Source organism: Homo sapiens, chromosome 4 (assembly GCF_000001405.40).
Source record: "Homo sapiens chromosome 4, GRCh38.p14 Primary Assembly".
NCBI lineage: Eukaryota > Metazoa > Chordata > Mammalia > Primates > Hominidae > Homo > Homo sapiens.
The window spans coordinates 87,456,341-87,482,040 of NC_000004.12; the positions used below are offsets into that span (position 1 = coordinate 87,456,341).

The 25,700-nt window shown below is 37.4% G+C and overlaps 3 protein-coding genes across 9 annotated transcripts in view; 1 reads left to right on the top strand and 2 right to left on the bottom strand.

The window, feature by feature from the left end:
- Nucleotides 1–3,115, top strand: part of NUDT9 (nudix hydrolase 9) — a 36,883-nt gene extending 33,768 nt beyond the window's left edge. For all 4 annotated transcript variants that reach the window (NM_024047.5, NM_001248011.2, NM_198038.3 and 1 more), the window contains one exon: nucleotides 1,503–3,115. In NM_024047.5, coding sequence (NP_076952.1) covers nucleotides 1,503–1,681 — 179 coding nt within the window. In that variant the 3' untranslated portion in view covers nucleotides 1,682–3,115. The remainder of the gene's footprint in view (nucleotides 1–1,502) is intronic.
- SCPPPQ1 (secretory calcium-binding phosphoprotein proline-glutamine rich 1) lies at nucleotides 4,462–14,710 on the bottom strand. The gene is made up of 10 exons (NM_001405228.1): nucleotides 14,677–14,710; nucleotides 14,288–14,317; nucleotides 13,252–13,322; nucleotides 11,639–11,671; nucleotides 11,469–11,546; nucleotides 7,837–7,863; nucleotides 7,074–7,103; nucleotides 6,924–6,952; nucleotides 5,627–5,664; nucleotides 4,462–4,643 (listed from the first exon to the last, which is right to left on the bottom strand). The coding sequence occupies exons 3-8, from the start codon at nucleotides 13,306–13,308 to the stop codon at nucleotides 6,938–6,940; spliced, it is 240 nt and encodes a 79-aa protein (NP_001392157.1). The 5' UTR covers nucleotides 13,309–13,322; nucleotides 14,288–14,317; nucleotides 14,677–14,710; the 3' UTR covers nucleotides 4,462–4,643; nucleotides 5,627–5,664; nucleotides 6,924–6,937.
- A 2,284-nt stretch (nucleotides 14,711–16,994) lies between these two features.
- The window catches only part of SPARCL1 (SPARC like 1), a 56,042-nt gene continuing 47,336 nt past the window's right edge, over nucleotides 16,995–25,700 (bottom strand). For all 4 annotated transcript variants that reach the window (NM_004684.6, NM_001291976.2, NM_001128310.3 and 1 more), the window contains 3 exons: nucleotides 24,032–24,180; nucleotides 23,090–23,238; nucleotides 16,995–17,463 (listed from right to left, as the gene is read on the bottom strand). In NM_004684.6, the coding sequence (NP_004675.3) occupies nucleotides 17,435–17,463; nucleotides 23,090–23,238; nucleotides 24,032–24,180 (327 nt within the window). In that variant the 3' untranslated portion in view covers nucleotides 16,995–17,434. The remainder of the gene's footprint in view (nucleotides 17,464–23,089; nucleotides 23,239–24,031; nucleotides 24,181–25,700) is intronic.

Sequence of the window (25,700 nt, forward strand, 5' to 3'; positions counted from 1 at the left end):
CAATCCTTAGGAAAGACAGGAAATCCAGCGGGGGCTGGAGTTGGGTATTTCCTTTCCCTCAGGTTGCTTAGGGCTTGGTAAAATAGTTTTCCTTGAGGGCAGAGTGATCTGGGTGTATTTGAAATTGGTTACCTTTCCCCTCTCCATGTTAGAAAGGAGAGAGGATTTTTCTCCAGTCTTCACCTGGTGGCTTTCTTGGAGGTAAAGCTCACTAAAATGTAGGCCCCCTCTTCATACTGGTATGGCTGACCCCCTAGGAGATTTTATCTTTCAAGCTAGTCCAAAGGTCAGCTTTCAGCAGTTAGTTACCCTTTAAGTGTTCCTACCAGGTGCTGACTCCAGCGGTAGGCTTCTCTCCCTGGTCAGTTGTGATTCTCTGTATTTGCCTGTCTCTCCAGTTTTTGGTATGGCAGTGTGGTCTCTACTAAGAATACAAAAAAATTAGCTGGGCGTGGTGGCAGATGCCTGTAATCCCAGGTACTCGGGGGGCTGAGGCAGGAGAATCGCTTGTACTCAGGACGCGGAGGTTGCAGTGAGCCGTGATTGTGCCACTGCACTTCAGCCTGGTCAACAACAGCGAGACTCCATCTAAAAATAAATAAAATAAAATAAAATATTTAAGTAATGTTGCCTTGAATACTTTAATAGGCTTGTCTCTATTTCATCAGAATAAATTCTTCAAAGAGGAATTACTGGATTGCTTATTGTATCTTCAGTGCCTAGTACAGTCTGGCACACAAGATGCACTCTGATATTTACAGAATGAGTGCTTGTCAAAGAAAACTTACTTTTTAAAAGCTCTTGATAAACATTGCCAAATTTCCTACAGAAATATTCCATTTATATTCCCAGCAGTGATTGGGAGCACTTATTTTTTATTTTTTTGATAATTTAAATTTTTTTTTTTTTTTTTTGAGGTGGAGTCTCACCCTGTTGCCAGGCTGGAGTGCAGTGGTGTGATCTTGGCTCACTGCAACCTCCACCTCATGGATTCAGACAATTCTCTTGCCTCAGCCTCCCAAGTAAGCTGGGACTGCAGGCATGTGCCACCACTCCTGGCTAATTTTTGTATTTTTAGTAGAGATGGGGTTTCACCATGTTGGCCAGGCTGGTCTCGAACTCCTGACCTCAGGTGATCTACCCGCCTCAGCTTTGTTTATTTTTTTACATTTAAATCTCTCATCCCTCTTGGACTGATTTTGATGTAAGGTTTCATATTCATGTAATATAATCTCGTTTTTAAGGATAATCTTTTTAGAGAAAACTCTTTGTGTTTATCTAAAATTTAGGGACTTGGTTAAAATTTGGACATTTTGGAATACTCTAGTTTTTTTTCTTTTATTCATTCTGCTGACCAGGGATGGAATGGTCTAGTTTTTAATTCACTTGGCCGGCTAGTACAATGATGATATAAGATTATTTTAAATAAGAATACTTGACGACATAGATATGCTAAAACAGAAATGAGTTTTTCTTGGTGATGGTTTTTCTTTGGCAACCAGGTGAGATAATGGATAATCTTATGCTAGAAGCTGGAGATGATGCTGGAAAAGTGAAATGGGTGGACATCAATGATAAACTGAAGCTTTATGCCAGTCACTCTCAATTCATCAAACTTGTGGCTGAGAAACGAGATGCACACTGGAGCGAGGACTCTGAAGCTGACTGCCATGCGTTGTAGCTGATGGTCTCCGTGTAAGCCAAAGGCCCACAGAGGAGCATATACTGAAAAGAAGGCAGTATCACAGAATTTATACTATAAAAAGGGCAGGGTAGGCCACTTGGCCTATTTACTTTCAAAACAATTTGCATTTAGAGTGTTTCGCATCAGAATAACATGAGTAAGATGAACTGGAACACAAAATTTTCAGCTCTTTGGTCAAAAGGAATATAAGTAATCATATTTTGTATGTATTCGATTTAAGCATGGCTTAAATTAAATTTAAACAACTAATGCTCTTTGAAGAATCATAATCAGAATAAAGATAAATTCTTGATCAGCTATAACTTCTGTTTCATCTAGTTCTTGTTTGTCAATGCCTTCCCTCCCGCTCCCCATCTTCTGAGGCCTGAAGGATGTTCCTGCCACATCAAACTCCTTTAGGCAGAGTACCGCCACTGGATGTATAGTTTAATGTTTCATCTGATTTTTCTTTAAATTATTTCCTTCACATTTTGCTTCACATGATCTTGTTGAAGCTAATTTTGAAAATGGAAACTATGTTTTCTTGACTTTAGAAGCATTAGTTTTAAGAGGAAATTTCAGCCACTAGTCAATAGAGATCAAAATCAGTGAACAAGAGCTGATACTCTCATTTTCAAAAATTCTGAATTAAAAAAAGTCCAGGAAGTTAGTAATTTAAATCAGTATGTTCATTTCACTCTAGTGAAACTACTATATGTTGTAAATTAGTTAAAAATGGATGTTCAGAAAAGAATTGAAATCAGGACAAAAAATTACAGATGCTAGTGAGGTTGTAGAGAAAAAGGAATGCTTATACGCTGTTAGTGGGAGTGTAAATTGGTCCAACCATTGTGGAAGAGAGTGTAGAGAGTCCTCAAATATTTAAAGATATTTGACCCAGTAATCCCATTACTAGGTATATACCCGAAGGAATATAAATTGTTCTATTATAAACACATACTCACGTGTATGTTCATTGCTGCACTATTCACAATAGCGAAGACATGAAATCAACCTAAATGTTCATCAGTGATAGACTGGATAAAGACAATGTGGTATATGTACACCATGGAATACTATGCAGCCGTAAAAAAGAATAAGATCATGTCCTCTGAAAAGACATGGGTGGAGCTGGAGGCCATTATCCTTAGCAAACTAATGCAAGAACAGAAAACCAAACACTGCATGTTCTCTTATAAGTGAGAGCTAAATGGTGAGAACACATGGACATGGGAACAACACATTCTGGGGTCTATTGGAGGGTGGGAGGAGGGAGAGGATCAGGAAAAATAACTAATGAGTACTAGGCTTAATACCTTGGTGATGAAATTATCTGTACAACAAACCCTCATGACACAAGTTTACCTATGTAACAAACCTGCACATGTACCCCTGTACTTAACAACAAAATAAACACAAAGGAAAATGTTAGCCATGTGTGAATTTTAAACTTCTTGGTAGTCACATTAAAAATAAAAAGAAACAAGTAAAATGGTTTGTAATTATTTAATCCATTATATCCAAAATATCTTAATATGTGATCAATATATAATTATTAAGTAATTATTTTGGTTCTATAAAAACAGGAACAGAGGTGGAGGTCTCTGTGAGTTAGTGTTTTTTTGTTAGGAAAGAAATGTTAAAGATTGAAATAGATTTTTGAGAAAAGCATGGTTAATGTTATAAATCCCAGAGGAAAGGAGGGGGTTGGTGCTTTGGGGGTTTTTGGAAGCAAGGAAAAGGAAAGAAAAGTAGTACTGCCTTGTCTTAGTGGACATGTTTATCTCATTCTGGCTAAGGATCTCTGTTGGAAAGCCCTGTGATAGGAACTCCTATCCACCTAAGTAGGGTTGGGCTATAGCTGGAGCATCTCAGGAAAAGCTTTAGGGGAGACAGACATTATTGTTTTCTTTCCTTCAGATGTTTGAAAAAGATTAGGCTTCTGTAGCTAGAGAGCAGAATTACGGTTAAGGTAAAACAAAGTGTTGTTCTGTTTTTTGTTTCGTTTATTTGATGTCAGAAATTTTGGTGGTAAACCTGAATTGAACTGACAGGAGGCTTTTTTCCCCTTAGTTACGACTGTAGATTTTCCTGAAAAGCATTAGAATGTTTGATTTCAGGATACCTTGAACCCTTCTGGAGTAGTTATAAATAGGGCTTATGTATGTATTAACTTCTAAAAATCCATAAAATCCTGGTCCCTACGGTGAGTAATAAGGGATTGATACTTGATGAGGATGACCTGCTCAAGAGGTTAGATGGCCTTCCTGCATGGAAGAGTTGGCTTCTACTTTCACCATTTGGCAGGAAGAAATTGCTTCTTCCTATCACTGAATGGAGTTCTCCAAAATTGAAGCTACTTGTTTACAAAAGCTCTTTTAACAGTTTGAGCAATTTTCTGAAAATTTTGGCCTTTACTTGTGTGTCATAGTATTTTGAGACAGGGTCTCATTCTGTTGCCCGTGATAGCACCACTGGAGTGCAATGGTGCTCTTATGGCTCACTGCAGCCTCAACCTCCTGGGCTCAAGCAATCCTCCCACCTCAGCCTCCTAATTAGTTGGGACCACATGTGTGCACCACCACACCCAGCTAATTTTTTTATTTTTTTTTTGTGGAGACTGGAATTTCCCTATGTTGCCCAGGCTGGTCTTGGACTCCTGGGCTCAAGAGATCCTCCCACCCCAGCCTCCCAAAGTGTTGGGATTACAGGTGTGAGCCACCATGCCCAGCCTGTTTAATAGTTTTGATACATTTGAACTGCCATTAATAAAGACATTTGGTTATATTAAAGGTTTATTTAAAGTATGACTAAAGCCCATGGTCTAGATACATTCTTTATGGTTTTTTGGAGTTTTCACTGGAACATGCACAAAGTATGCAAAATTATAAAACTACCATCAACTATAGTTAAGATAGAAGTAGATACTCTTCTGATAACTGTAAATATCCAGCACCATCTATAATAGGGAAAAAACAAAATGTTAGTTTCAGATATTCCTAGAGGAAGATCTATCTGCTATATCACTAGGTAATATTCCCTTCATACTTATTTTCCTTATGTCTTATGTAAAATGAATGTTTTTTATTTTAGAGACATTTAGTAAAATAAGTAATAATATTTGCCATTTACTGAGTATCTATTATATTTCTTAATTCTATCCACATCCTGTTAGGTAGTAGTATTCCCATTTCACAAATGAATACATTGATATTTAGAAAGGTTGCCCGCAGTTTTATTTGCTAGTAGAGTTGGGATTTGAATCATGGTCTGACTGGGTTGCAAAGCTATTCTGTCTGTTGTATTCCCTACTAAGGTTAAGAGTCTTTTATGATACATTATTTAAGTATGCAGCTTGGAAGATTATGTGTAACATAAGTAGTACTCATGTTATTCATAGTATTGCAGTTATGATTTGTGAGTTGAAATTTAAGGGCCACACCTGATTTGGCTAGCATTGTTGAAGTTGTTTGTGTAATTTTGGCCCAAAGATAGTTTATTTGATGATAACCTAAGGATAAAGGGCCACAGTCAGTGTTTGTTTTGTCAGCAGGTGTTCTTGAGCTTTTGAAAGCATTTCAAACTCAAATAGAAGGATATGCAAAGTTTCCTTAGGATCATAACTACTTTAAATATTTGGTGGCTAAAGGGGGAACTTGAAAATTCTGAGCACTTCGAGAGGCTATTCTTATTTAACAGTATGTTTTCTTATGCTTAGGACTTCTGGTGGTGGTTATTTTCTAAAATATTTCTGGAGTTTTAATAAACTGACTTTAAAATACATCCTTTGAAGAAAGCATTTGTAATTAATTGGTCTTGTTTACACCTATTTTCATCATATTATTAATTTACCGTTGTGGACACAATCAGAGGCAATTAAACTCATGATAAAAATATTGAAAAGGATATAAATGCATGAAAGAATTTGGAGATTTTACTAACCATACGTAACTTCTGGCATAGTAGTGGGAGAATTATTTCTGTCAAAATAGATAATACAGATTATAGTTATAATTTATATGAAGATATTTTCACCACAATTCCTTCTTCACCCATGCCTCCCATTTTATGGTTATTTTATTGCTGATGTGTTAATATTGGTATAATCATGTATGTTGGAGGTGGAAAATAATGTGGAACTGTTAAATGCTGATAAATTGAATCCTTAACTGTTTACAGCATAGAGCTTAATCTCTCCCACTTGGCCTCAGATAGTCTAAGTATTTGAAATGGTAAAAGGTACTAAATAAGCACTTCAGGGCAATGTAACTTGTTAGGAGAGAAGCAGTTGGGTGGAAATCCAGTTTCTTTCTCCAAGGCTGTAGTACATACACTATGATTGGGCCCGTGAATAGCCTCTGTAGTCCAGCCAGGACAACATAGCAAGATCCTGTTTCTTAAAAATATTAGAACAACAAAAGGGATATATACCTTTTTGGTCTCCACGTTTTTCTTTCTTTCTTTCTTTCTTTCTTTCTTTTTTTTGGTATGTATTTTACATGAAAGCAAACTTCAGTGAAAGTCAAAGTAGAAGTCAAAGTTTGTAGCCTTTGTATCCAGCAAGTTAATGCTTTTTGTTAAGATGTGTTACCTTGCCTTGAGATCAGTCCATTTCTAGGTGTGGCAGTTTTACAGTAGGCTTTTCTCATTATTTACTATGAATTGCCTATAAGACAAAAATAAGCCTGAAAGCCTGGGCACAGTGGCTCACGCCTGTAATCCCAGCACTTAGGGAGGCTGAAGCGGGTGGATCTCTTGAGGTCAGGAGTTTGAGACCAGCCTGGCTAATGTGGTGAAACCCCGTCTCTACTAAAAATGTAAAAATTAGCCAGGTGTGGTGGCACATGCTTGTAATACCAGCTACTAGGAAGGCTGAGGCAGGAGAATCGCTTGAGCCTGGGGGGGCAGAGGTTGCAGTGAGCCGAGATCACGCCACTGCACTCCAGCCTGGGTGACAGAGCAAGACTCCTCAAAAAAAAAAAAAAAAAAGCCTGAAGCAAACTTTGTTGTTTGAAATTTCATATTGCATATATGCCTGTAAATTTAAATTTTGTGAAATATCAAGGACATTATTAAAAAATACCTTTTTAGACTGGCAAAAATTTTGATGTAAAGATTTTGGAGGAAATGAGTTTATAACTTATGAGTTCTAGTTTGGTAGATCAGTTGAGGTTGACTCTCATATTTTTATAGTTACAAAGAGTTTCTCTTACCTTTCGTGGCATTGAATATAACTTACCTTTATCAATTTAGTCATGGAAATAAAATCTTACCCCAGAGAAGTTCCAAAAGTTAAAAAAAAAAACAACAAAAAAAAATTTAGTAAGATGTTATCTTTAGTCTATTAAGTAAATGTGTAGTTTATTATAGCATAAAAATAGAGCCTTACCCCTAGTTGGTTCAAAATAGCAATGAGTAACTGTGAAGGAAGAAAAATTGATGATCAGTGCTGTCAATAGGTTAATTTTTAAACCTACATTTAACTTATTACATATGCAAGTTAGTATACTTTGTATACAAAAATCTATTTTATTGAAAAATTCCATTTTATTGCTTAGTATATTATTTATATGATACAAGATTTTAAAATGACAATATCTGGATTTAAATACCTTTAATTCACAGAAATATTTTCTTTCTACAGCTTTGTAATGATATTTACCATATTTGAAAGTTAGAAAATTGATTTGAATGGTTAAGAAACCCTCTGTGTACACTTCCATACAAGTCCCATCTTTCATAAATGATTCAGATTCCCTGTGTGAATGATACTTGAACTAAAATTTTAGGACAACTATGAATACTTTGTTTTGAGAACTTGCTTATACAAGCAGTTTTACTGGAAAATTGTTTTGTAGCATCCACATGGTCCTGTTTTAAGATTCTGGCAGCTTGCTCAAGAAATTGACCAACTCCGTCTAAAAGGTGAATCTCTTTACTTGTTGAGCTGTCTGTCTTAGAGTGTATGCAGTAATATTTAAGCTAAACACTGTCCCAACTGTGACAGATCTTAGGCACGAACAATGCCCTCAGGTAGCGTTTGTTCTGTTAGGGTGCCTTTCTCTGCTCCCTACCTTAATTAGGACCATTGAGAGATGTTGAATGTAGTATTTATATGGACTTTATAGAATAACAGGGCAGAATATATTTACCGCGATAAGATCATTAGGTGTGAGGACCTAGAATAAAGGAAACAGTCAAAGTAAGGAGTTGTAATTCAGCATTTCATCTACTTTTGTATCTTATATATTTTATATTAGCTTGGTAAACGAGAGCATGCTTTTTAGAATTCTCATCATTTCTAAAGTTCAATTATTAAAATTCACTAATATTTTAAGTACCCCCCCCCAACCCCAAACCTATCTCTGGAAACATGTAGTCTGTATTTTCTGTTGTGGGCTCCAGACATAGCAGTGACTTCTTGGAAAGATTATTAAACCTATGATTATTGGGTTTGAAAAAGACTATTTTGGGATCACCTCTTTCTGAAAGAAAACTTTAATAATATTACTTCCTATAATCGTAATAGGAGTGCTGGGCATGGTGGCTCACGCCTGTAATACAGCACTTTTGGAGGCCAAGGGAGGAGGATCACTTGAGTCCAGGAGTTCGAGACCAGCCTGGGCAACATGGTGAAACCCCATCTCTACAGAAAATACAAAAATTAGCCCAGCGTGGTAGTGCGTCCCTGTAGTCCCAGCTACTCAGGAGGCTGAGGCTGGAGAATCACTTGTACCTGGGAGGTGGAGGTTGCAGTGAGCTGTGATTGCACCACTTCCAGCTTGGGTGACAGAGCGAGACTCAGTCTCAAAAAACAACAACAGAAAATCATAATAGGAATATTATTACTTGGAGTTAATATGCTGAAATATACATAACTTTTTTGTATGATACTGAATCCGCCTCATCTTATGTATTTATCACTAATTCAGTAAAATCTTTTCAAAAGTAAAATTTAAGCAATTCCTTTATACCATGACTGTAACCTTAAATCTATTTCAAATGCTTCTAGGATATATTACATTTCAATAAGAATGCATTTTACCCCCACTAATGACAAATGTAAGCATAAAATTTTAGAGGTGAAATGGACTTTGTAAATCATCTGTTGTCACTGTTTTATATTCTAGAAGAGGATAAGGGTCACAGGAGTTAAAGATAATTCCAAAGTATTAAAGGGCAGACATGGAGCTTACATCTCCAGATCATTTAACTTCAAATTAAGTGCTTTTTCTACTGGTTGGTCCCTGGGTTTATTCTACACAAATAAGGAAAGTTTCAGGTCTTAGGTAATTCAGTTTTCAAGGATATGTGAAATTTGAACATTCAATTACTCAAATCAAACAAAATATCAATAACTAGTGGTCCCCCAAAGAGAATGTTAGCCAGTAATTATTGGTATCAAATTCTCCCCAATTAAATCTAAAGAATTTTCAAGTTTTTGTTTTGTATTAGTTTAAGTATTTCCTAAGGAAGCTTTAAGTATAACCACCTGATTTGGATTGTAAGGAAAAGGAAAAGGAATAGAAATCTACAAAAAAAAAAAAAAAAAAAAAAAAAAAAAGTAAATTGTGAATGAAACTGTGAACACTCTCTCTTGCTTTTTCTCATTTATTCATACATTCACTCATCCTTCCACCCATCTATCCATCCATCCCTACAATATTTACTGAGCAATTATTCTATATCTAGGGTTTAGGGATAGCAGTAAATGACACTTAGAGAGCTCACCTTCTATTTGGTGGAGATTAGAATCTAGTGGGTTCAATATAATATTTTCTTTCAAGAGGTATGGTTGTTCTTCTTAATTTATCTAACTTAAAGCCCAGGAATCTGTCTTAATGTGTTGATAGTTTTTACAAATCTACCACTTTCCCTACAGTAAGTGTTACTTTCTTTGCTTGCTTTGAAGATACTAGTCTGCCATCTGGTGGTAGGAAGAGTTTCCATTTCACAGAAGAGTGATTCTTTTAATTGTCATATAGATTTAAATAAATTTAAATTTAAATGTTAACAGCGATTCCTAAGTTCTAATTATAAACCAAGACTCCAAGATTTTGCATCAGTTTAAAATAAATCTTGCCAGGGCACGGTCGCTCATGCCTGTAATCCTAGCACTTTGGGAGGCCGAGGCAGGCAGATCACTTGAGGTCAGGAGTGAGTTCGCCCAGCCCAACTAACATGGTGAAACCCATCTCTACTAAAAACACAAAAATTAGCCAGGCATGGTGGCTACACGGGAGGCTGAGGCAGGAGAATTGCTTGAACCTGGGAGGCGGAGGTTGCAGTGAGCTGAGATTGCACCACTGTACTCCAGCCTGGGCAACAGAGAGAGACTCTGTCTCAAAAAACAAAAACGAAAACAAAAAAAACAAATTTTAGCAAACAATAGGGAAACAATGCACCTAGTCCTGACTAGAACCAAAATAATTAGCAATTAATTATAAGTGCAAGAATAATATTTAGAATTTAACAGCTGGGATTCAATCAGAACAAGTAAAAACATTAAAGGAGAAGAAATGTTCTATTGAGGACTAAGTTTAGTGACAAATTTTTAAAAGTTGAGAGAAACACAGTTTGAAATTAAATGCAAGCAAAGGGAAGGTGTTTATTAAATTTAGATATAAAAACAGTTACACAAAATCATGTTTGTATATTTAAAAATATTTAGGAGATCAGACAATATTAAGCAAGATGTAGTTTTAAAATGTTTGTGAGCTGGGCATGGTGGTGTGCACCTATAATCCAGCTACTGGGGAGCCTGTGGGAGGTGGGAGGATCACTTGAGCCCAGGAGTTTGAGACTAGCCTGGGTGACATAGTGAGGTCCTTGTCTGTAAATAAGGGGTATGTGAAGTTTTAAAATGTATGTGATTTTTAAAGAAAAAAATCATTGCTTAAATACTTATCCAAATTTAACAAGGCCCCAATCTGTGTTGCAGCATCATTATTTTAGACTAAAATAATTTTCTACCCGCAAATTGCCTTGTGCTTTTCAAGTCTGCACCCATGCACTTGCTGTTCCTCTGCCTGAAATGTTTCATCCATTTGTCTTCCTTCAAGACCTGGTTCAGATACTGTCTTCTCTGAAGTCTTTGATCCATAGCTTTGTATTTGTGTCTCGAAATACTTATCAAATTACATTGTAGTTTCCCTTTATGAGTCTCTCTTCCTCATCAGATCTGAACTTATACTGTTTGTACCTCAAGCACTCACCGTTGACTCTATAATGTAGTCGACTTACAAAAGTGTTATATATAGAATAAAGGCAACTCTATTGTGTATTTAGCATTGTTCCAAACTTTATTGAAAAAATGTTTTAAGAATCCAGATATTAGGAGAGCCTGGAGAGAGTCCAAACAGAAAAGCAAAATAACTATTTTGCTTGAACTTGGGAAAAAGTTATAGAAAGCTGGGGAAAAAAAATCTTCTTAGAGAAAGAAAGCAACAAGGTGAATTTGAAAAAGCAAAAGAATGGATATTATAGAAAGAAGTATTCTCTTCATAAAGAGTAAGCTCGTAACGGTCAAAGTAATTCAGCACAAACACCTTTTTAATAGTAAGTGCAGAGAAACACTGCGAGAGGGCACTGAAGATTTGGAGGGAAATTTGCTAGCCCCTTGTCACGTTCCACTATAAGCTATATGGGAGAGAAGTTTGAATAGCTGATTCCTGGGGACTGCCTAAAGCCTCATATTTCAGTATCAAAATTTGGAAAGTTTCATAACCACCATCCAACAAATAAATCCTTTTAGCTATTTCAGATTCCCCAAACCCATGCTTACCAGGGGCGGTTGCGGAGGTAGGGGAAAGAGGACCTGAGGGAAAAATGGTGGTACTTGTGGTGGGTAAAAGATAAATCTCTGTAAAAAGAAACATGATGTCAGTCATTTCAGACAATGGCAGACTTTTAAAATGATGAATGCATTATTTAAAAATACAATTAGAAGTTCACCTGTTCACTGGAACTTTCAGCATATTGTTCGAGCTTGCAAAACAATAACAGCAACAAGGTAAAGCAGCATATGGAAATACATTATCCACTAAAGAGAGGTTTTGTTCTAAAGGAGAATAAGTAATAAGCCACTATGGAGCATTATACCCATCAGTAATGTAACTTCACTTCTGAAATAAAAAGCAGTTGGATATCTAATAGGGAAAAGTTTAATTAATTTTGTGCAATGATTTGGAAGACCAAGGCTTTTTGCTTTTAAATTTATATCCAAAGAATGCTTTTATTTACATTTCTTAAGATTAATTCCATATTACATGAATATTTCCTTTTGTAAATCTTTGAATGGTGTTCTTGATTTAGTTCTCAGTAGTTATAAACTCAAAGTGAAGGGAGTGTGGAAATGTACACTTAAGTTCTGCACCCCAAACACAAATTTTGAAAGCTCCCTCACTTCTTCAAAAGCTCCTTTGATACAAAGTGTGCAGGGGAGAGAGTTTCTTGCCTACTTGGTGCCCTCATATTCAGACTAGTAAACCCAGATTAGACTCAGTGGATCTCATTTGTATATAGTCAGTTGATGACAAAATGTCTATATAGGTGAAGTTAATGATGTTCTGGGATTACAGTATTTCATATATTCTTAGATGCTATCATTGTCAAAAGCACCATTATTTCATAAATTACCAAAAAAGAAAAGCGCTGCTGTTAAGCTGCCGTGACACTTTATCAAATTGTGTTTTTAAGACACAGCTCAATTTCAGAGCTGCTGAAATATCAAAAAGTACATATTAGAATTAATGAAATATGTATACTGCAGCATTCCCATCAGCCTAAAGAAACAGGCAATACAAATTGTTTGGAATTTTAGACCACGATACTTGCCAGCTTTGGCAAAAAGGATTGTGGTCTAAAGAAACAAATTAGGTTTGTTATCAAGGGCACTATAGATGAATGTAGCTTTTTATCCAAATCTGGTTTTCAAAAATTGGACTTTAAAGGTGTGTCTGTATGATCACTCAAATATAATTCAGGCATAAGTTGTTTTTATATTCATAATTTAGTAATCAATGTAAGTTATCTTAAATATTTCCTTCTTTAAAATCAAATCTACAATGAGGTAGATAGTCCTTTGGTGTCAGAGCATTTCCATGTAACAGCCTTTTAAGAAAACATGAGATGGTTTGGGGCAAGGGCATTACAAATGAAACTCAATTCAAACTGCTTAATTTAGACCTGGGTCACTGCAGAATATTTGTTCTATATCACTGAGTTTATTGAGAACATCCTATCTTTCAAATAGGACCCTTCTCTGCCTTAGATGCATTAAAAAAATCATCTCCGTGCAACTCTGAGGTGTTCCTAGGACTCATTTTATAGACAAGGAAACCATGGGTTAGTTCAAAGTCACACAGCTAGCACATGGCATATGGAGCTGAGATTTGTACTGGGCAGAGTCTTGGACTGACAAAGAGTGGTGAACTCCTAGTTCTATGACTTTCCTGGGTTCCGCTTTCCTCTTTTGTGAAATGAAAAGATAAGACCTGCTTTCTAGCCGAGAAATGCGATGACTCTAAATCTGAAATTGAGTCAGCAGCTGAGGAGGGTGTACTCACGGGGATGGGCAGAGCAGTGGCAGTGCTCAAAAGGCCAGCCAAGATGAGAAATTTCATTCTAAAGGTCGAGCCTGGAATTGAAGGGGTAGGAGATCATTTCGAGTTTTTTTCTATGTAAGTCCTATTCCTATTTAGAGGTGTTGAAATAGTGGTCAAGATAAATCCTGCCTCCAAACATAGGTTTTGTAAGCCTACAAGAGTGTTTTTAAAAGCTTTGAATTCCTTAGACAAGACATGCACTGTTTAGCTCCCAACATAGCCCATTACTTTCTACTTTCTTATAAAGTTACAGTTCGGCCTATACACTGTACATGTTTGGTCCCTGAAGTTGCGTTTGTGATCTCTACACACAAATCTTTTTTTTTTTTTTTTTTTTTTTTGAGACAGGGTCTTGCTCTGTCACTCAGGCTGGAGTGCAGTGGCACAATCATAGCCTCCTGTACCCTCGAACTGCTGGGCTCAAGTGATCCTTCTGCCTCAGTCTCCCAAGGAGCTAGGACTACAGGTGTGCACCACCACACTTGGCTAATTTTAAAAAAATTTTCTTAGAGATGGGGTCTTGCTATGTTGCCCCCCTGTTGCAAGGATGGTCTTGAACTTCTGGCCTCAATCAACCTTCCCACCACAGCCTTCCAAAGTGCTGGGATTACAGGTGTGAGCCACTGTGCTCAATTCTACTCACAAATCTTTAAACACCAGTGTTACATCATGCTTATTATTAGTAATTGATCACTACTGGCTAAAATGAGAGGAAAGTTTTTATGTAATACACAAATAAATCCACCTGAAGCTTGTACCTCTGTGAGACTTACCAGGCCTTCATATAGTCTGGTTGCTGTTATTGCCAGTTATAGTTCTCGGGAAGGAAATTGTATGGGAAAAATTTTGTAAGATGTAATGGGTTGGTAGAAAATCAGCACAATATGAGTAAATTCAGATTCAATAAAGGAAATCAACTGGCCTTTTATTGGTCCATTGGTTCTGAAAGGAGACATTTTTATGTTTTAAAAATCGCACTTAATTCAAATTAACTTACCTTGTGAGTTTCAAACCAAATCACTGTATTCTGGAATTGGATTTTGAAAGAAAAACAACTTTATCATGTTATTATTAAGACTTATCTCCAGCATTTGAGGCAAGTTATATCTATAAATCACACTTCATCTGTTATATATATCTAAAACCCAACTCTGATTTCAATCTTAGTGCTACTTTGCCTGAATTTAGGCAACTTATTTCCCTTTTCCTTTTTCATGTTTTTTCTTTGTATTTTTCTTCTTTCTGGATTCAAACACTAATTTCTTTCTTCTTATTAGAAGTGGACCTGTTAGAAATCATTAAATTACCCAATACAAGAATATGTTACATTCTTTTATCTAGTGCATTAGAATCAGTCCAAATTATACTATATATCTCTTCAATTACCTTTGCTTCAGTGGCCCTTGGAGCAACAAATTCAAGGAGCAGTGTGATCACCTAGAATCTCTATGCCCATCTAGTATTTAAGCCATGTTACTAATGCCTTTATGGTTATGGGCAATATGAGTCACAAAATTCAAAGCTAAACTGAATAATTGCTTTCACACCAGGAGCTCCAACTTCCAAAATATCTCAATTACACAGAGGTAGACTTACAGACTGATTACTGAGAAAATAACTGAGAAAATAATCTCTTAGGTTGGGATTAGAGTATGTCTTTATCACAAACAACCCACAATTAAAAATTGTGACCACCAAGAATATTAACGTGCCTCTATAATAGATGAGCTAGCTGTACATGTAAGAGCCTTAAATGATACAGAAATTTAAGGTTTGAGATTTTCTCTTATTAAATATTTTTCATTTCAAAATGAATATTATTTTCAAACAAAATTTTTTAGTAGATATTGAGGTGGTTTCCTTACCTTGGTGTTAAAATCACTTTTCACTATTCTAAAATATTTTTGAAAGTTGTCTGAGGGTAAAAGATAATTTAGGCCTAATTAATACCTCTGAATACAACTTCACTGTTCCCAGCAACCTAGTTTGTAATTAGCTAAGACCTTTTCAGCTTCATATAAAAACGTTCTGAAATTTGGAATAGTTCCTAAAATTATTTCTGTAGTTGGAAAAAGTTACAAATAATACTTAATTCGATTTTGATTAATCAAATTGAACTTAATTTTTTAGAAAGGACATAGTATGATATGGTTCTAGTTAAGGTAATTGGCCAGGTGTGGTGGCTCACGCCTGTAATCCCAGCACTTTGGGAGGCCGAGGTGGGCGGATCACGAGGTCAGGAGTTCGAGACCAGCCTGACCAACATGGTGAAACCTCGTCTCTACTAAAAATACAAAAATTAGCTGGGCGTGGTGGCGCACGCCTGTAATCCCAGCTACTGAGGAGGTTGAGGCAGGAGAATCTCTTGAACCCAGGAGGCAGAGGTTGCAGTGAGCTGAGATTGTGCCACTGCACTCCAGCCTGGGTGACAGAGCAAGACTCCATCTCAAAAAAAAAAAAAAAAAGAATAAGTAATTTATTGAGCTATGAAAGAGATAACGAATGAAATTTTGAAATACTCAGAGAAGATTATTCTGATAAAAAAATAAACTATTCTGTAAATATCTTTCAGATAAAATTCCTAGGGGCATGTTCTCTCAGTGACTATCACAGATAAGGTTTGTAACAACAACAACAACAACAACACATTTTTGATTATTTGAAAAAATAGTAAAAGATAATTGTATTGATATCTTTCATTTCAGCTAGAAAAATATGTAAAAAACCATTTTCTTTCAAATAGTCAAATAAAGTGAGTGACATGTCCTTTTATTGCCTTACTTCAGAACTTGGAAAACTATATTATAATGTCATATTTTTGTGATCTAGCTTTTACTGTAATAGTTACCAAAGAAGAGCGCAAATAAAAAGACAAATTTTTGCTTATGACAGGTTTTTCGCTATCAATTTACATTAATAATATTTAATCTCTTTCTACATTGGACATCAAGACGCTTTATGGCCCTCTACCTGTTTTACCATTACATTTTCTTTATTGTGAGGCAATGATTATGTGAAATTTTTGCAGGGCCGCCCTCTTCCCCAGCACACATGCTCAACTGCACAAAAAGTTAGAATTAATTGGATCAAGCAGTGCATAATCTTTCACATTTTATTTTCATTTATTTATTTTTTGAGACAGGGCCTTGCCCTGTCACCCAGGCTGGAGTGCAGTGGCACAATAGCTCACTGCAGCCTCGACCTGCTGGGCTCGAGTAATTCTCCTACCTAAGTCCACCAAGTAGCTGGGATCACAGGTACATGCCACCACCCCTGGCTATTTTTTTAAGTTTTCATAGAGACAGGGTCTCTCCATGTTGCCTAGGCTGGTCTTGAAATCTTGAGCTCAAGGAATCCTCCCGACTTGGCTTCCCAAAGTGTTGAGATTACAGGTGTGAGCCTCTGCACCCAGCTTGTTCTACATTTTATATCAAATTTGGTAAAAAAGCACTTGATATTAGTTTTTTTCTGTTTAAACTTACATAATGATGAAGGACATTAATGAGCACCTCTTATCTTGCCACTGAGTATTTGTTTCCTGTAAGAGATGTCTCACACTTTTTTCTCAACCACACACACACACACACACTTAAGGTAGTAGGGTTTAGGAAGCACAATTATAATTTGACATGAAGTGTGAGTCTTGGGTTGATCTTTTACATTTGATTGTCTAAATAATAACTGGAAATACACTTGCATAAGCATTTGGATTTTTATGGACTCTTTATTAGGGTATTAAGATATTGAAAATAATACACGTAAACCACAAAAGAGTAGCATTCCATTTTCTTGAAGTGCACATGATATTATGAACAATACAAATGCATTATTTTTATCATTAATAGTTTAATCATTAATTATCTCATAAGTCAATGCAGAGAGTGAAATTACTATGAATTAAACTTCTGTTCACAATGTACAGTATTTTGCATATGTTGACTTTACTTAATTGTACATTTTTGTTTCCAAAGTTAATGTTAAATACCTGGTGCATAGGTTGTTGTCAAGCAATTACTCTCATTGTCTTGTCATACATGCTAACATTTTGCTAAATATAAATCTACAAGTATCACAGCTGCATATATTTCTGAAGTGGTTAGAACAGAGGAGGATGCTGGAAAGTTGAGTTCTTTAAAATCTTCGTTCAAAACAAGAGATTTTCATCTATGTCCTCTATAAAAAAACAAGAAGCAAAATGACACTTTTAGAAAGTAGCCAGAGTAGTAGCACAAACAATATTAGAGTTGGGGGATTAGAGAAACCATCTAATAAGGCAGTATAATGGTGATCCTCAACTTTGGTAGGACAGCAACATCACTCATGAACTTTTACAAATATGTATTTTTAGGCCTCACCTCTGGACTCTAGAATCAGAATCCCTAGGGGTGGACTAATGGCATGTAGACGTTTAGAAAACTCTGCAGGTAATTTGGCTGCAGGGTTGAGAACCACTGATAGAGGAAGAGCAGGTTAACGGGAGGTCCAGCCAAGAAGTGCCCAGTATACTAATCTAGAAGGTGAGCTGAAAAATAATGGAAATAAATAGAAGTGTAGTGCTAGGTTATTCCAGTTTTTAATTGAGTAGCTTGTGAAAGAAATTGTCGCCATACCTGTGGAAGAAGACAGCATCCTCTAGCAAATATAAGATCACTCCTTACCAACATGGCCCACCCTAACAAACTATTATACTACTCTGTGTGGGCACTAGGTAATTTTCCTGCTAATAATCTTTATCTAGCCCAGAGAATGGGAAAGATTATGGACTTTGATTTTTTTTTTTTGAGTACTGGCTTCATATGTAAAATGGAGATAATAGCTTCATTAGTTATACGTTTACTTATATTTGCACCCATAGCCTTTGTCTTCTTTCTGTTGCTCAGATAAGAGATTGTCCTTTTTCTTGACGTTAAGGCTAATTCCTCTACCTATGCTCAAGATCTCTTCTGACCTTCACAAGATTCTCCTTTTACTTTCCTCTTTTTTTCTTACATCCTTCTTCCACCTTTCCTTTTTTACTAGACCCTTCCATTAGCATTTAAATATGTTTCATATTTAGCCTCTAGAACAGTGCCTGCATTTATGTAGACCATCTGTAAAGATTTCTCTCTCTCTCTTTTTTTTTTTTTTTTTGAGACGGAGTCTCGCTCTTTCACCCAGGCCAGACTGAAGTGGCGCAGTCTCGGCTCACTGCAAGCTCCGCCTCCCGGGTTCACGCCATTCTCCTGCCTCAGCCTCCCGAGTGGCTGGGACTACAGGCGCCCGCCACCACGCCCGGCTAATTTTTTGTATTTTTAGTAGAGACGGGGTTTCACCGTGTTAGCCAAGATGGTCTCGATCTCTTGAACTCGTGATCCGCCTGCCTCAGCCTCCCAAAGTGCTGGGATTACAGGCGTGAGCCACCGCGCCTGGCCTGTAAAGATTTCTTGAGCAAATGAATGAGTAAATGAAAGGAGTGCTCAAATCTCTTTTATTCTAAAAAATGCTCCCCTTTTTTAGAAAATGCTCTGTAGCTTTTCTAGGTCTTTCCTGCACTCAAACATCCACTCCTTACCCTTTCTAATCTCCCTTTTCTTCTCAACCCATAGAATGTGACTTCCATGTCTACCATTCCACCAGAACTACTCTAACCAAGGCTACCCAGGATATCCTTATTTCTTTCAACTTCTTTGACATCTCAGTCGCATTTGGCACTGTTAATCTCTTCCTCCTCTTTGAAACACCTCCTTTGCATGGCACTATCCTGGTTTTCTTCCTTCATTTCAGGAGAAACTTCATTCTCCTTACTGAATTCTTTCTTCCTCCCCTATCCATCATCTAGATGTTGTTGTTTCTCAGTGCAGTGTTCAATCCTAGACCCCTTTTCATGTAACTCAATGCGTTTTCCTTGGGAGAATTAATTCCCTTCCCTGGTGTCAATTATTCTCTGTATGCTTATAATCCTCAAATATGCATTTCAGTTCCAAAACCCTGTCTTGATATATAAGCGGCCAACAAATATATATAAAGTTCCACGTTACTAATCATCAGGAAAATTTAAATCAAAACCATCTCACAATAAGATGCCATTTCACACCAGTCAGAATGGCTGTAATTAAAAAGTCTAAAAACAACATGCTGGTGAAGCTGCAGAGAAAAAGAATGCTTAGACACTGGTAATGTAAATTAGTTGAGCCACTGTGGAAAGCAGTTTGAAGATTTCTCAAAGAACTTAAAACAGATCTACTATTCAACCCAGCAATCCCATACTGGGTATATTTATAAAAAAATCATTTTACTAAAAAGACACATGCACTCATATGCTCGTTGCAGCACTATTCACAATAGCAAAGATATAAAATCAATGTAGGTGCCCATCAGTGGTGGGCATGGTAGGGATAATGGTAGTTTTGATGGAGTGGTAGAGATAATGGCCAAACCATAATTACTTTTGCATGAAACTAACACTTAGGAGGCAACCTAATACTTTACAATTCAACGTATCTAAAATGGAATTTGTCATTTACTCCAAATCCACTTCTGTTCTTGTGTTTTCTCAGTGGAAGATGCCTCTATTTACCTCTATTTACCCTGCCTGCTCTGAGCCAGGGACCTAGGCATTGCACTTCTCTTTTCAGTCTCTCACCTGTCTGCTCTCGGCTCCCACATATTTCCTATCAAATATTGTCTTATTTCCACATGCTATATATTTGAGTATGCTTATATCTTAAAATATATCTTGAATATGTTTACTTCTCTCTTTTTTTCCCCTTTGGTCACTCCCCTAGTTCAAGTTCTCATCAGCTCTTGCCTGGGTTTACCACAGTATTCTCTCAACAATTCTTTGGCCCCACCACAATGTAACCAGGAGAATCCATCTTAAATACAAACCCAGGGAAATCACTGGCTTGTTTGAAACACTTTGGTGGCCCCCCAGTACTCTTAGGATAATGTCTTTAAATGGCTTAGGGGAACTTGCGTCATCTGAGTTGTTTACCCTGTTAGTCTCACTTGGAGGGTTTTCTGACGATTAGCATGGGTATGTGTCAATGCATGGTATGCATGGGCACAAAATAAATGAGGATTCCTGCACCTGTTACCTGAACCCCATTTTTACAGATAAGGAAAATGAGACTCACTGAGGCTAAGCAACATGCCCTAATTCACACAGCTAGTTAATAACAGCTATGTGAGGAATATATGAGCACGTCTATCACAGGCAGTTAAAATTCAGGAAAACATTGGCTAAACTTTATCTTCTCCTGTAGATTTCTCAGCCTTGAAGGAAAGAAGGGTATACTTACAAATAAATTTGTTTTTCTTTAGCTACATTCCAAAGCAGTAAGTTGTTTACGTGTTCTGACTGAATATTTAATATCTGCTTTATTGGTTTATTATGTGATAATTTTTTCCTTTCTTCAAAATAAGGCAATGATGGCCAAACCACAGTGCACAAACAAGATCATTAGCAGCTTTGTAAATGACTGGATTTTAAGCCCTTCCTGCTCCTCCCAGACAACCGCCCAGCGGAGCCTGGGTGAGCTTACACACTGAAGAGCTGCCAGAAGCTTTGCAAAAGGAAGAATGAGATGCAACTGGTTTTCTTAAGTAAAATGGCCTCTGTTTAAATTTGCCTTTTTATCAGTCCTTTAAAATCACATGTCATATAAACAGGCATCCATAAATACATCCTATCCCAGCTGAGTTTTCCCCTCTAGATAATGGTGGGCAGGGCAGGACAGAAGGATATATTTGAATTTTTATAAGTACTCTGCTTGTATCATAGATGTTAGAAAGACAATTGACATCCAACCCCCTGTGGTCTCCTTCTCCTCCTCCTGCTGTAGCAGGATTGGTCAGTGTGACCAATAGAATGAGGCAGAAATCATGATATATAACTTCTGAGGTTAGGTTATAAAAGACATTGGGGCCTCAGTCTTGGCTTTTTCTCTCTTTCTGCCTGGTCACTCGCTCTGGAGGAATCCAGATACCATGCTGTGGGCAGCCCTGTAGACCAGAGGCCTACACGATGGGATACTGAAGGCTCCTGCAAAGAGCCATGGGAGTGGGCTTAGAAGTAGACCCTTAGCTGCAGTCAAGCCATCAGATAACTGCCGCACTGCATGACCCCTTGACCACAACCTAATGAGAGATCCTAATCCAGAGCCATCCAGGTTAGTTACTGTGAGATTCCTGACCCTTGGAAACCGTGAGAAAGAATTTAACCTGTTAAGTTGTGGGGTGATTCACTATGCAGCATAGACAACTAATACACAGAACTAGGTACTTACAAAAATATACATCCTTTCACAGAATGTTTATTTCACAGAATGATATTGCAAGGAAAAGGACTGACCCTCTCTGCTTACCTATTTATTAATAAGTAAATCCTCATACTTTCACCTCTTCCTCTCTAATTTCAAGGCATTCTACATATGCATGGGGGATATTTTAAAAATGAAGTATGCACAAGTTATTTCTTTTTGGGAACTTCTGACATTTGATGAACTGACTTTCTTTAACGGCTTAGCTGCATGTTTATCCCAAGGGTATATTGTAAACATGAATGAAATCTCTGTTTCAGAGATTTGATGTTCACTGTTAATTTATGTTCTGTGAGTGGTATTTTTCTTATTTATTTATTTTAATTGACAAATAAAAATGGTATGTATTTATCATGTAAAACATGACCTTTTAAAATATATATACCTTGTGGAATGGTTAAATTGATCTGATTAACGAATGCATTACCTCACATACTATCATTTTTGTGTGTGTGTGTGTGGTGAGAATTGCGAGTAGATTTGAATGCTCATTGTTTGAACATCTTTCATTTTTTTTTTTTTTTTGAGACCGAGTCTCACTCTATCACCCAGGCTGGAGTGCAGTGTTGGGATCTTGGCTTACTGCAAACTCTGCCTCCCGGGTTCAAGCAATTCTCCTGCCTCAGCCTCCCGAGTAGCTGGGATTACAGGCGTGTGCCACCAAGCCCGCCTAATTTTTGTATTTTTGGTAGAGGCGGGGTTTCACCATGTTGGCCAGGCTAGTCTCTAACTCCTGACCTCACGTGATCCACCCACCTCGGCTTCCCAAAGTGCTGGGATTACAGGCATGAGCCACCGTGCCCAGCCTTTCATATCTTAATTATTGAAAACATACTTGCTCATAAAATTCAAGCCTAACTTAAGGAAAGAAAAGGAAACATATTAAGACATAACCCAGCAAAACAAGCATCTAAATTTAATTTCCTCCACTGCAGGAGTAAAGAAAGAATACTCTGATCTACCCTCCCACAGCTCCCATTCATTGAGGGTGAAGCCATGGGTGAGTTTTGGGTTAAAGGATTATCCCAGCACTAATTGTGATGTAAAATCCAGTCTTTAGTGTGTTGGTAATGGATTCTGAGATGTTCTGACATCTCCCATTGTCAGAAATGGGCTTGCTTTTTTATTCTTTATGTGTAATTTTGAAAAGTTTGGCCCAAGGCCCAGGTTAAGGTAGGATATGAAATAAGGAAGGACACAAAGCCTGCTGAGATTTGGCCCAATTCTGGATTCACACGTCTTTCTAGGCTTAGCTGACTGTTGAGACCTCAATGCATGTTCACCCTTGCTACCCTTTGAAAACAGTGCCATAAAGGTAGTAAGAAGTGACTTCGCAATGACAGCATGTGCACCAAGGGAGTCCTATCTGGGAAGCTGCCACCTTTTTTTTTCTAGCTTCCAATTCGAACATGTGGCAGGACCTCTCTATGAAGCATGCAGGGCTTAGGGCTTGTCTGAGGAAGAAGACATCCCTCTTCTTTGGCTGGTGATGAATTTACCTTCTTTAATTCCAAAGCAGTGGCCCCACTCCTTCAGGGTGATGTGCTTATCCTTGTTGGGGTCACACTCCTCAAAGAAACGGGTTATGCAGTGTTCCATGGGCACCAGAGATGCTCGCAGAGGAGCAAGTTCAGAATGTGTCAAGACTCTGCAATGAAATACATGGCATCCTATTAATTGAGTAGCTTGTGCATGAAGATTTAACTCTCAGGCTCACCAAGGACATTTTTCTCCCATAAGGTTGCTGTATATGTGATATAAATAGAATACAGATAAAAACTGCCAACGAAATAAAGTATTTGTGGGTAAGGTTGACAGCTTTTGGGATGTTGATTCACAAGTTTTCTGTCTTCACAGGAACTGTCCTTCCCCCACCCTAAATCTATAGGGGTGTACCCAGCAGTCATGTTGGTACAACCTGGTTCTCATCTACTGGCCATACCTGATTGTTTTAGATGTAGTCACTTGACCCACATTGGGCCAATCTTGGGAATTTACGATCAAGAATGAGAAAGTTGGAGGAGTATCTGTGGGAAGCTGGACCTTAACATGTAAACTTGGGAGCTGTGGTGTAGCCATATTCTGCTATCTTCACAGCAGCTTTTTTTTTTTAATGAATATTACATAGCTTTGATAATTGTGATAAGGGGACTTCAAAAAGTTCATTGAGAAATGGAATTAAAAGATAAAATTATAAAACATAAACTTTATCAACATAAGCTCTATCAAGTTTCAGACTTTTTTATTATTATTATTATACCTTAAGTTCTAGAGTACATCATACACAGCAGCTTTGTGTTTAGACTCCTAACCAGGCATTTCAGTATTCTAAAATGGAACTGGGAAATGTCCTAAATCTGTTTAGATTTTCCTTTTGCATAGATATGTAGATATTTTATCAGAGAGATAAATCTAGAAATGGAAAGGTAAAGAGTTCTTACCTATCCATAGGGTGTTGGTCAAGTTCACTAAACTGCCAGTGCACAGGATACACATACATGTGGTAGTTTTTCTTAAAGTCCCTTAAGAGAAGATCAATGGGATGGTCCCCAGCCAAAAGCCTCTTTTCATCCAGGTAAATTTTCTTGACCTGGGATTAGGAAGGCAGAAGACTGTCAGAGAATCAGACAAATGTAATGGACTTGTCACTTGCTATAAACTTTACTTGAAGAGTGACAGTAACACGATAGGGGAAAACAAGCTCAGGACATCATGTGCAACTAAATGAAATTCCTTCCAATCAATACTACAGGCCTTTCTCATGTCTACACAGAATAGCACCTGATGTAAGAAACCTCTGGTTTTTAGAAGAAATTTAAATTCTTTTTTAAACTTTTAAATATTTTAAGTATGTTTTGCCTCTTTCTTTTAACCAAGTAATGTTCGCTGCTTTTTTTTTTTTTTTTTAAACTATGAGGTTTTAATGAAAAGGGCTGAATTGACTAAGGTGATTAGTTAGTGAAAAGTGCTGCTCCTTCCCCCGATGACAGAGTCCACTCTTAGTCTTCTAGGTCATCCATCCAGTGCCCACTCAGTCTTGCTTTCACCCTGGTGTGTTATTGCTTGGCCAGCCCCATTGAAATTTCCCTGTTTCATAGCTAATACCCTCAAGGCTCTCTGTGACAAGGTATTCAAGACGGGGGCTAGAAATTATTCTTGAGCAGTGCCTGTGAAACTCTCAGCTTGTGATGTTGCCTCTTATTTCACTGAGTAATTGGAAGCAAACAGGACCTCCACCTGCTCCCAGAACCACAACTTTGCTCCCTGCGACCTTCCTGTGCTCCTAACCTAAGTCCAATCCCTCTCCTCTGGGTGGGACATGTATCGAAGAACGCCCTCTGGCAGTTGTGCGCATTCTCTGCTCCCCACTAACATTTCCTTCTTGACTGGGTTATTTCCAGAAGCGTGCAAACATCCTCTACCATCTCCCACTGCTAGGTGGGACTCTTGTACTCACTTTCCACTCCAGCTGCCACCCCATTTCTCTTTATCTCTTCATAGCAAAACTCCTTGAAAGGATTGTCTATACTTGCTGCATCCATTCCTCCTAGTCTCTGTTGAACTCTGTCCACTGGAGCTTCCCTCCTGAAACATGCTCCCACCCCAGGAACAGTTCCTATCAAGGTCAGCTATGACTTTGACATGCTAAATCCCTGGCCAATTCTCAGTCTTCAACTCATAACCTATAAACAGCATCTGACACAGTTAATGCACACCCTCCTTCTTGTTTTATTTGTCTTCACACCATGTTTAATCCCAACTGACATACTTATACATATATTTGCTGATTTGGTTATATTTACATAAATGCTCATTTTACTATATATAATTGCATATATGCATATATATGTATGTACAAATATATGCATATACAAACATTACATACACACACACATATATACTTATTTGTTTAGAGTCTGTCTCTTCACCCAGAATGTAAACTCATGAAGGCAGAGATTTTCTTTTCGTTGCTGTATCTCCAGTATTTAGGTCAATTTCTGGCACCCAGGATACACTCAATAACTATCTGGTGAATGAATTTTCTCTGGAAGCTTTTGGAATCAATGTTCTGTGCTTTTTAATCTTAATATATTACTGATATTTTGAGTA